This window comes from Homo sapiens, chromosome 12 (genome assembly GCF_000001405.40).
Source record: "Homo sapiens chromosome 12, GRCh38.p14 Primary Assembly".
Lineage (NCBI taxonomy): Eukaryota > Metazoa > Chordata > Mammalia > Primates > Hominidae > Homo > Homo sapiens.
Genome location: NC_000012.12, coordinates 81,459,772 through 81,472,233, shown reverse-complemented (window position 1 = coordinate 81,472,233; position 12,462 = coordinate 81,459,772). Strand labels below are relative to the sequence as shown.

Below are 12,462 nucleotides of genomic sequence, written 5' to 3'. Positions count from 1 at the left end.
CTCCTTAGCTCTCACCTCCTCCAATCTCTCCAACTCCCCTAGCCCTAGGTAACCACTAATTCATTTTCTGTTTCTGTATATTTGCCTATTCTGGACATTAAATATTAAGAGGATCATACAACAATATGGTCCTTTGTGACTGGCTTCTTTAACTTAGCATATTTTTCAAGGAGCATCCATATTATAGCATGTATACTACATTTCTTTTTATTGTTGAATAATATTTCCTTGTGTGTATTTGTTTAAAAAAACTCTTCATATAATTAATGTATACAATTTTGTGAGGTTGGACATATGTATATACTCATGTTACAATCACCACAATGGAATTCAGGTAATAAACATGTTCATCACCTCAAAAATTTCCTTATGTCACCTAGTACCTGTTAGAATGGCTATTTTCAAAAATGAAAAGCAAAAGAAAACAAATGCTGGCAAGGTTGTGGAGAAATTGAAACCCATATTCACTGTTGGTGGAAATGTAATAGGGTACAGCCACTATGGAAAATAGTATGGAGGTTTCACAAAAAAATTAAAAATAAGATGAGCATATGATCCAGCAATCCCACTTCTGGGTATATAACCAAAGATATTAAAATCAGAATCTTGAAGAAACATCTGCACCCCTAGGTCCTTTGTAACATTTTTCAGAATAACCAAGAAATTAAAACAACCTAAATGTCCATCAATAGATGAATGGATAAAGAAAGTGTGATATATTCAAACAATAGAAAATTATTCACCCTTGAAAAAAAAAAAAAGGAAACCCAAGCCAGGCACTGTGGCTCATGGCTGAAATCTCAGCACTTTGGGAGGCTGAAGCAGCAGGATCCCTTGAGCCCAGGAGTTCGAGACCAGCCTGGGAAATATAGGGAGATCTCTTTTTTACCAAAATAAATAAATAAATAAATAAAAATAAAACTACCTTTGAGTAGTGGAGTGTATCTATGGTCCCAGCCACCTTGGAGGCTGAAGTGGAAGGATTCCCCTTGAGCTCAGGAGGTAGAGGATGCAGTAAGTTGTGAGTTGTGATCATACCACTGCATTCCAGCCTGGAAGACAGAGCACGACTCTGTCTCAAATAAATAAATAAATAAATAAATAAATAAATAAATAAATAAATAAAGGAAAGACAAAAAAATGAAGAATGAAATCCTACCATTTGTGACAACATGAAAGGACCTGGAAGACATTGTGCTGAGGGAAATAAGTCAGTTACAGAAGGACAACTACTGCATGATTCCTCACATATGTGGCATCTAAAATAGTTACAGAAATAGAAGTAGACAACAGAACATTGGTTACCAGCAGATGGGGGAAGGGGTATGTGGGTAGCTGTTGTTCAATGGGTATAAAATTACAATTGTGCAAGATGAGTTTGTTCCAGACATGTACTGATCAACATAGTGCCTTTGGTTTACAATTTAGGTATTGTGTACTTAGAAATCTGTTAAGAGGTCAGATATCATGTTAAATGTTCTTATCACAGAAAATAAAACGATATGAAATAAAACAACAAAAAAGTATATGCATTTTAAAAATTCATTCCTCCACTGTTGAACATTTGGATTGTTTCCACCTTTTAGATATAATGAATAACACTGCTATGAACATTCATGTACAAGATTCTGTGTGGACATATGTTTTCAATTTTCTTGGGTATATACCTAGTAGAGAAATTGCTAGACCATACGATAACTCTATGTTTTACCGCTTGAGAAACTGACAAACTGTTTTGCAAAGTGGCTGCACCATATTACACTCCCACCAGCAGTGTATGAGGCTCCTCTGCATCTTTGCCAATGCTTATTTGTGTTTTTGATTATAGCCATTCTAGGTTATGTGAAATTGTATTTCACTGTGCTTTTGACTTTCATTTCTCTGACGATTAATGATGTGGAACAGCTTTCCATGTGCTTTTTGGCTACTTATCTTTAGAGAGCTGTGTATTCAGATTATCTGTTCATGTATAAATTTGGTTATTTGTCTTCTTATTATAGAATTGTAATAGTTATTTATATATTTTGACAACCAGCCCTTTATCAGATATATAGTTTGCTCATATTTTGTCTCATTCTGTGGATTGTCTTTCACTTTCTTAATGATACTACTCGAAGTGTAAACATCTTAACTTTATGGTATATTAATTAACTCTGGCTTCCATAACAAAATACCATAGACTGGATGGCTTAATCAACAAAGATATATTTCCTCGCAGTTCTGGAGGCTGGAAACCTGAGATCAGAGTTTCAGCATGGATGGGTTCTGCTGAGACCTCGTTCTGGCTTGCAGATGGCTGCCTTCTCGCTGTGCCCTCACATAGCAGAGAGAGAGCTCTGGTGTCCCTTCCTCTTCTAAAATGGGAAATAATCCCAGCTGGAGAGCACTACACTCATGACTTCATCTAAACCTAATGATTTCCCAACGTTCCCATCTCCACATACCACCATGTTGGGGATTAGGGCTTCAACATATGCATTTGGTGACACAATTCAGTCATAGCATATGGAGTCTGGACTATTTTAACTTGTGTTGTATGAGCTTTTGGCGTCACATTTAAGAAACCATTACCTAATCCAAGATTGCAAAGATTTACCTCTATGTATTTCTGTAAGAATTTTATAGGTTTAGTATGCTTAGGCTCTTTTGGATCTTAGAAAGTTGCTCATGATGCTCCCTTTATCTGGAAGAATTTTCATTCAACATACATTTTGCCTGGCTCTTACTCATTTTTCACATTTCATCTTAGATGCCCCCTTCACGCACATACCCTCCTACAGGGGTGCATGCGGGGCACCCTGGATATAACCCCATCACAGCGTTTATCACATTTCATTGTAATTATTGTTCACTTACTTCTATTTACGATGTCTTTTTCACCATTGTACACATTGTATTGTCTGAAAAATTTCACAGGCTCTCCTACATATTAGGCATCCAATAAAATTTTGTCGAGTAAATAGAGAAATAATCAAAGTGTCAGTTTTTAAAATTTGCAGAGAGAAATGCATTGTCAAGTGAGCCAGTATCCAAACTAGGCTGACAAGGGCAAGCTCCTTCTCTACAGTAAATGACATAAAAAATTGAGTAATTAAAAAATATCCCTCAGTATCTATGGAATTAGAGCATGTTACATTATTTGAACATTTGATGACACCGTGTCATGTTAGTGTGTCCTAACAATTCCAGAACTCTCATACGCCTCTATTGCCAGACAACTACAATTCTTAGGCTGGGATGTACTTTCACAGAGAGAGTGGCTAGAAGAGTCTTTCCAGATTTCTCTCTCATGGTTTGCTTCTTTTACTCTGTTATTTAATGCTTTCACCCCCCACCCCCCAGTGATAAACTTCTTAGCTGTATATTGATATAACATATTATAACACAAAGTGCTATTTTCTGAGCTACAGTGTGCAATTTTAAATGTTGTACACAGTTAAATTCTTCAAGGCAGGAAAATATGTTTCAATAGATTTTACAACTTTTATAGCACCCACTACAGCATTTCAGCTCAGTGAACAGCAAACAATGTTGTAGCCCAAATATTTTTGGTTATATAATTATAACTGATTGCTAGAGATGTGATTTTGTTTTGTTTTGTTTTGTTTAGAGTTAGAGCTTTGTTGAGCTATGTTGGGAGATTTAAATATTCAGCTCGAATGCTATTTTGTGTGTCTGGGAGTGTTTGCCACAGCAGGTGTTACCTAACCAGATGCTAAAGTCTTTTAAATTAATATGCAGCATCTTGTCAAACATGCCTCCTGCTTTACACTGTCAGAGCTGTTGAAAATTGGCTTTTCCTGCCAAAAGAGTTTTTGGTTGGCAATGACTCAGCCCTGACATGCTTTAACTACAATGCTTACTGGGCCTGGTGATTGTACTAATGTACTTAGAATGTCGAGTTTTAATAAATGTACAAATGCATGAAGCATCAAATAAGCAAATATATCTTTTGGGCATTTATAGAGATTGAAGATTCTTTCCCTCTCCTCCATAAAGATGAGTCAGAATTAAGGACAAGAGCATTAATTGGCTGAAGAAGTAGGTTGGTTCCTCTGTTAGAATTGCTTCCTGATGACCTCCCTCTCTCTTCTTTCATACAATAAGACCAGAACAAGGTTTTGTTTTATTTTTTTCTATTGGAGAAAAATGAAGGGGAGATGGAGCAAGTCAAAGGAAAAGGAAACTTGGAGTGAGTAACTTCAGTCTTGGTTCTAAGCCGTTGGGTTTGTCTCCTTCTCATTCTAGTAATATTATGCAGAGGGACAGGATATGGGAACAAGGCAGCCACTCAAACTTAGAGCAGGAGCCCAAAGGGTGAGGTGGGAGCTTCATTCAATAGGGAGCATCCTTCCCACCTGGGTCAGGGAATCTGTGAAAGACTTCAGGCTTTAACCCTGGATTCTGGTCAGACTTGTAGGCAGCTGGGCTCCTCTCAAAACAGCATCTCAGAACAAGCAATGCAAGGGTTCATTAAAAAGTTCTCAAATATGTTTTATACTATCATTGCATTTCAGACACCAGAAAACATCTTGAGAGGTGTGTGAGCCCTGGGTTAGTGATAATAGATGCAATCAGAGAGATGAGGAGACGATAATAGAAGATAAAGGACACACTGACATGACATGGTGTCATCAAATGTTCAAATAATGTAACATGTTCTAATTCCATAGATACTGAGGGATATTTTTAATTTTTTTGTATTTTATTGGAGACAGGGTTTCACTGTGTTGCCCAGGCTGTTCTCGAACTCCTGAGCTCAGGTAATCCGCTCGCCTTGGCCTCCCACAGTGCTGGGATTACAAGCGTGAGCCACCACGCCTGGCCAGAGACATGTTTAAGAAAGCTTTTAAGAACTGTTTTATGATATCTAGAGAATTTCCTCATAGGCTCTACCCTTATATACATTAACATTATAGAATGTCACTTGATGTGTCTTAGGTAGTCGTAATGTAAATTTTTGATCAGCAAGAATTACTGCAGGAACACAGGAACAGAGGGGTACAGTAAGATATATTCTCTCCAAAAATGTGCTGAGTATTTTTACTGTATCACACTAATGTCAATCACTTCTGCCATGCTAGTTTGCTAATGATATAGTAGAACTCTCTCTTTTTTATTATTATGCTTGAAGATAATCCTCTTGTCCCTGATATAAAATTAGTTTCAGTATTAGTGCCTTCCAAAGAAAAAGGGCAATGAGTAAAATGAGCCTTGGGTAGGTGAATCTCGAGTTACGTTTCAGTTACCATTAAAGAAAAAAACTGCATGGTTTTTAATATATATATATTTATGTATATTATTTATTACATTTAATATTATTTATTATATATTATATTTAATATAATATATTATATATATTAAAAATTATATATATTTTTTAATAGATGAATGGGCCCAAGAAGACAAATGTGACTAGGGCCCACAGAAGCAATGCAGTGCAGCAGAACAGCCATTGTGGGGATACTGAGAAAACCCTACCTTGCCTCCAAATACGTTCCCAACCAATCTGTAGTGACCTCTCCAGGATTTAAAAACAATCTGTAGTACCGGCTCTCCAGGGTTTAAAAACAAGCTGACTCATCTCTAGCAAGCTATTGTCAAAGAAAGCCTAATACCTGGGGCAGCTCTCTATATACATTGAGAAATTGGTGTCCACAAAGCAAAGCAGAGTGGGAATAAGATATAAGATAGGTACGTTTCAGTAGGAGCATAGTGAATGATTCATGGCTTGATGGACAGACAGCCTGAGACTGCTTGACAATTTTGATTTCCACAAACATCCACTTTTTGAAAGATTCTAAGTACCTTGATTAGAAGATTTTGAAAACAAAAGTTACTAAGTATCCAAGTACACATCTACCAAGGGAATGACTTTTGTAGCATGTTGGATTTTAAATAGGCTTGCATCCCCCAAGTCACCATGATATGTTAACATAGTCTTCTATTATGCAGTTTTAGGAAAAAGACCAAAAAGCTTTCTAATTAGAATATAGATACATAAAAATTCAAGGGGGCACAAAATATAATGCACATGGAATTTAAACCCAGTTTTCTTTTAACTTGAGCCATCTTACCCAATGATTTTTGTGAAAATTCTGAGTCCAGTTGTGCCTGTCACATTACATTAGTTATGCAGGCGATTCTACCTTCAAGCTGTCTAGCCCAGGGCTGACCGTGAGACATTACTGTTTTGCACAGTAATTTTGGATGACAGCATTCCCTGGGCTCATGTGAGACCAGAAGGCAATTATAAAAACAGAGGTCATTAACACTGCATTTGATTACATAATAAAATAAAAATATTGCATATACATAGTGATATAATGATTACGTATTAATTTCTATATGCCTTTCTTCCCAAACTAAATGATTTCCAAACTGAATTTCTAAAGACTCCTCTGAATTTTTACCAGCAAATATACTAAGTGTAGATATAAAATTTGAGAAATATATTATCTTTTTGTTGCTTTGTTTATATCTCTCAAATGTAATACTTCTGTTATTAATCGGTTCTAGAAAGTATGTCCTGTGGTTTGGGGAAAAACATACATATTTTTTTACATGTAAATTTATGTGAAATTATATGCAAATAAAAATAGATTTAAAATCCAAAGCTTTCCACTGAGTATTACAAATAGAATTGCTAGAAGAATTATTAAAGTTCAAAGGAGGAAACACCAAACTACAGTAAATGAGGGGCCTAGACTAAGGAAGTCATTATAAAAAAAGCATTTTGAAGCAGTTAATTTTGTCTAATTGAAATGCTAGATGGTCAAATCAGCATGCTTCCATGCCATATGCTTTCCTGAGCGCTATTTTTGATTTGCACAAATGGTTGAAGAATAAACTTAAAAGATGCTTTTTTGTGGTCGGTGAGGGTGTTGGCAGTGTTTAGTGAAGCTGAATTCCAACTCACCATTTATTTTTCCTCTTCTCTCTCAAACTGGTTTGCACTCACGATTCTTCAAGGCAGGACTTACTCAGATAGATGGCTGCAGAAATAAGGCCATTGTCAGTTCATTAATTAAGTGGCCCACAAGATTAGAAAATGCAGGTTTAATTGAAAGGTAAAGAGTATTAAAATTGTAATCAAGATGAATGCATTGTCAGAGATTTCTCTGGAGACTGTCTGGTGTCATTGACTTGAAATTGAAAGGCTGAATTTTCCTCTTACCATGCAGCTTCTCCTAACCAGCTTTCCTGAGGTGGGGACTTACCTATTAAATCAAAGCCTTTCAAGCATTTAGTAAATGAGAAAATATGTCATTTTTTTTCTCAATTAAACCTCCTCAAGTAAGCATACCATCTGAAATGAGTCAGGGAAGTTAGAAGTTTTTTTTTTTTTTCCAGCTCTATTATGTTTATTACTAAATATCAGAAAATGAGTTTAAAGATGAACCTGTATAAAAATAGAATGCTCTGTGTCTGTCTGAGAATGGGTAGCCCGATAGGCTATGGTGATATACCAGGTGGAAAAGGCATACGTTAAAAACAAGAGGAAAGTTGACCAGAAGAGGTTATACACTCTTTAATTTCCTGTCTAGGAATGTAAATAGGCACAAGAACTGAGTGAATCTATGCTTTGCCCCTGTATTTTTCACTTTGGAAATAACATATGCAGAGATCAAAACAAGAGAAGCCTCTTTTCATTAAACTCACTAAGAACAACATATTGACCTAAGGCCTGTCATTTGAGATATTTGCAGCACAGACACTTGAATTACTCAAGCTCATCCTTAGCTTAGAAGTCAGCACAAAAGAGTGAAACCACTGATAAGATACAAGACAGCTTATCTTTGCTCTGGGATATGACAGGTTTCAGGGATGTTGGCACCAGCATTGCCATACAATAGAATGGGTTTTGATGGAAACAATCTCTTCTACTTTTCTCATCTGTGTTCTGTGAATAATAACACTGCTATAATGATTAAACGACATAATAGAGGTAAAGTTCATAACAATGTACCCAGCATATACTTAGTACTTAAGAAATGATAGTTAAGTAAACAGCAAGGCTCAGTGGCTTACACCTGTAATCCCAGTGTTTTGGAAAGCTGATGTGGAGGTGGGAGAATTGCTTGAGGCCAGGAGTTTGAGATAAGCTGGACAACATAGCAAGACCCCTGTCCTTTTTTAAAGACAGGTGAGACCCTGTTTTTAAAAGAAAAAAATGATGGGAGCGGGGAAGAAAATAAGTAAAAAGGTAACAACTGGGAATATTAGCTGAAATAGAAGAGCTTTAGATTTTATGTAATTTAAGAGACTTGTAACAAATTCAGGAGTGCACAGAAGTTAGATGTCCTATGTTGGTGTATAAGAAATGATACTTTCAAAATTTTAAGATATTAACAGAAAAGAAAGTTATTTTATTTTCCTCTTTTTTTAAATAAAGAAACTATTGCTTTACACCATGAGCTGAATTACTATTGAGAGGGATAGAAATGGCTAGAAAAGATTAATTTCAGAGAAAAGTAGTTTGAATGATTAATTCCCTGAATGCATGTAAACATATCAAGAGCAGGGACTTTAACTTGCTTCTTTGCTTGTCATCTTCCCAGCACTAAAAACAGGGTCCACTACATAGTGAGTGCTCATATAAATGTGTTTGTGATGTGCCTGAGGACACACTAAGAAAGAGAAGGGCACCCCTCCCTTCGTGCTGAGGGTACTGTTGTGGCACTGTGTGGTCTAGATCTTGACTGTTCTTTAAAATTCCAAAGGACAAAATATAGAGTGGGGAAAGTCACTTTGCTCTTTGGAAAAAGAAAGTATTTGCCATGCATAGGTTGGTGAACAAAATAGTCTGAAAAGTTGTTGAGTATGCTTAGTAGTTGGCGACTGACCTAATTCTCTTATCTCACTGATTTTAACACACTTAGCTCTTTCTACAGATTCCTTTTAATTCAGACTTGATGAAGTATGAATAAAGTTTCCTTCTAACATTGATTTCTCACTACTTTAAGCTTCTGATAATACTCTGTGTTATACATTGTATTCTGTTTCTTACCTTTTTCACTCAAAATTATATTTTTGAAATCTTTCCATGTTGCTGTACAAAGATCTAACCTGTTTATTCTTCCCTTTGCATAATATTCCATCATGCACATTTACTATATTTAAATCATACATTTTTATATATATGGAAGTCTAGGTTGTTCCCAGTGAATTCCTTTCTGGGAATCTTGTGGAAATACTGTTCTAAAATCATAATTTGAGAAATGCTAGACTAGAGAAATACCATATTAGTTAAACACATACTTTCACTTTAAGCATGAATAAGACCAATGTGATAGATCCAATGAACAAATGATAAATTTAAATGCATGAATTATTCAGAGCAATAGGCCCAAAGCACTACGGAATAGAAAATATTTTCATTATTTCTCCTGCCACATTCATTTTCTCTCAGGTGCATATGCTCTCATTCATTCTAGTATCTTTGCATTCAACACAAATATTTATATCACAAAATTATGCTTTCATAATAGTGAGCTTCAGCACTAGAGCTAGCCTATTCCTAGGTGGGAGGTATACTGCAGATCTCTTTGAAGAAACTACCAGGATCAGAGAAGATTTTCTGAATAATTTGTTGAATTTGGCAGTTTCCAGGTAATCGCTATATTATATATATATATATATATATATGTATATATATATATACACATATATATACACACACACATATACATACATACATACATATATATGAGTGAAAAAGGTAAGAAACAGAATACAATATATAATACAGAGTATTATCAGAAGGTTAAAGCAGTGAGAAATCTTAGAAGGAAACTTTATTCATACTTCACCATGTCTGAATTAAAAGGAATCTGTAGAAGTGTGTTTGAATCAGTGAGATAAGAGAATTAGATCAGTCACAACTACAAAGAGCAAAATGACATATATATGTATGGGTCTTTTAGAAAACATATATATATATATATGTTTTCTAACATATATATATATATATATATATGTTAGAAAAGCATGGCAGACAATAATGTCATTGCCGTGTAGAATATAGCATATTTCAATATAGACAAAACAACAGCTACAAAGTAAAAAAGAATATTATATCTGTTATATGTTAAGCAAATTATAGTGATCTCACTTAGAAAAATTTAAAAAAAACCTCCAATAATATCTTCTAAATTTATTTTGGTATCAAAGTCCAAAGTTTGAGGAAAGTAAGCCATTTATTTATTATCACAACAAGGATTTACTGTTTACTTAATTTTCCAGGAACTATGCTAAGACCTAAGGATATAAAAATACTCTAACAACCTTGCCTTAAAGGATTGTACTGTTTAGGTGGAGGAGACGAACACATAATTCAGTTATAAAAACAATACAACTAGGTATTTTAAAGCATTAAGAAGGCTAACTAGTGCTTTTAAAAATGAATTAGTTAGGCAGAGGGATGATGAAGAGTATTTGAGGCACAGTAGGTAGTTTGTGAAAGAAACAAGAAAAAAAGTTGAAAAAAATGAAAAGGTAGAAATGGAAACAGGAAAGAGAAATGTTTCACAGTAGTTGCAGAAGATAGACCATCTAAGAAGGAGGCTTTTGAGGGACATATGACTTCTAAAGGGCATACACTGGTATTACTCTGTGTGGCACTTTGGTGATGGGTTTTGAGTGCTGGTTAATGATGGAGATCCCTGATGGGCCTCAAATGTGAATTCTGACATTTCTATGAGGTCAACTGCAACAACTGTTCTATGTTATCTTCATATCTTCAGCATCTAGCACAGGGTCTGATATGTGGTAAGTGGTCAACAAATGTTGTATGAATGGCTGGATAGTTAGACGGATGATAATCCCAGAATGCTTGAGACATTTGATAAAGAGACTCCATTTTTAGCCAGAAGGAGGCAGTGTTGCAGAAATCTAAACGTTTTAGAATCAAAGTGGGTCATATTGAGCGGTGACCTTGAACAAGTTATTCATCACTGCTAAGCTTCAGTGTCCTCATCTGAAAAATAGGGAGTCGATGGAGTTATTCATGTAAAATGGTTAGCTTGGGGCATGGCAAAACAAAGTGCCAACTGCTCAAAGTGGTATTAATAGTTGCTATTGTTCTGTAAGTAATAAAGCTAATTAGTTATGAAAGGGTTATGTTTTGGGTGGTTTGAATTTTGAAAGTTAAAGTTGGTTTAAATTTGATATATTTGAAGGTAAAAAGCACTGAAAGTTTGATGACCTTGGGAAATATAATTTTTCCAAAAATTGAAACACAAATCAGAAGGGAAAATGTGGTCAGGGGAAACAAACAACTTATCGTAATCACCCAGTATGAGTTAGATTGTCTGGGTTCAAAGCCCAGCTCCATCATGGACTAGGTGTGTAACTTTGCACAATGTACTTAACTTCTCTAGGCCTCAGTGAGATTTTAGTAGTTTCTTAAGGTGTGTTATTAGGATAGATGAGGTAATTAATATAAATTGCTTGGCAGAGGACCTAACATACTGTAAGTTTGCAATCAATGTTAACCCTATTTGCTGTTAGTGGTATCTTTGTAAGATGATGTAAGCCTCAGTTCATGTTCACAGTAAGGAGAATAGGTATAGGAAAGAGAACTGTCAGAGGAAAAGTGTTAAAATGTTTGGTGGTTAACTCCATGTGAGATATCTGCCTCTACACAGTCTCAGATACATAGAACAAACTTGTCTAACACTTGTTGCTCTGTGTGGAAGGTATACTATACTTTGGACCTTCTAGTTCCCCACACTCTTGGACTAATTAAGGGGGATCATGCAAGATAATTGTAGTTGTGTTAGTTCTTTTTCACGTTGCTGATAAAGACATACCCGAGACTGGGTAATTTATAAAGAAAAAGAGGTTTAATGGACTCACAGCTCCACGTTACTGGGGAGGCCACACAATCATGGTGGAAGGTAAAAGGCACTTCTTACATGATGGCAGCAAGAGAGAATGAGGACCAAATGAAAGCGGTTTCCCTTTATAAAATCATCAGATCTCAAACTTACTCACAATCAGGAAAGCAATATGAAGGGAAACTGCTCCCATGATTCAATTATCTCCACCTGTTCCTGCCCTTGACACGTGGGGATTGTTACAATTCAATGTGAGATTTGGGTGGGGACAGAGAGCCAAACCATATCAGTAGTAATATTATTTAATGTTTCAGATAAGGAAAAAGGGTACCTCTAAATGTACTCCAGATCTGAATAATATAAACCCAACAAACAACTAGGTTCAAAGTGAAATAGTAGAAAAGCACTAAACTTGCAGTGGAGAATGATGCTCAGAGCTAACTCACTCCCTATGGCTTGTGAGTTTTGTGAACTTAGACATACAGCTTACCATTATTCAGTATCCTCAGCCATAAGATGGGAGTGAGACCTCCTCACTAGGTATTTAGAGAGCAAGGTGGTATAATAAATGTGAAAGTAGTGCCTGAAAGTTGCTAGGAAGTTAGTAAATGTAAGACTAATC

At 35.7% G+C, this 12,462-nt stretch overlaps 1 protein-coding gene and 1 long non-coding RNA gene across 51 annotated transcripts in view; one reads left to right on the top strand and one right to left on the bottom strand.

The window, feature by feature from the left end:
* PPFIA2 (PPFI scaffold protein A2) overlaps positions 1–12,462 on the top strand; it is a 501,376-nt gene that overhangs the window by 287,117 nt on the left and 201,797 nt on the right. The gene's annotated exons all lie outside the window — the stretch shown is intronic.
* Positions 1–12,462, bottom strand: part of PPFIA2-AS2 (PPFIA2 antisense RNA 2) — a 141,042-nt gene that overhangs the window by 85,913 nt on the left and 42,667 nt on the right. For 2 of the 3 annotated variants that reach the window (NR_199032.1, NR_199033.1), the window contains one exon: positions 6,920–6,995. This is a non-coding gene — a long non-coding RNA (PPFIA2 antisense RNA 2). Of the gene's footprint in view, positions 1–925; positions 1,073–6,919; positions 6,996–12,462 lie in introns of all 3 variants that reach the window. The other variant, NR_199034.1, reaches the window with a different exon arrangement.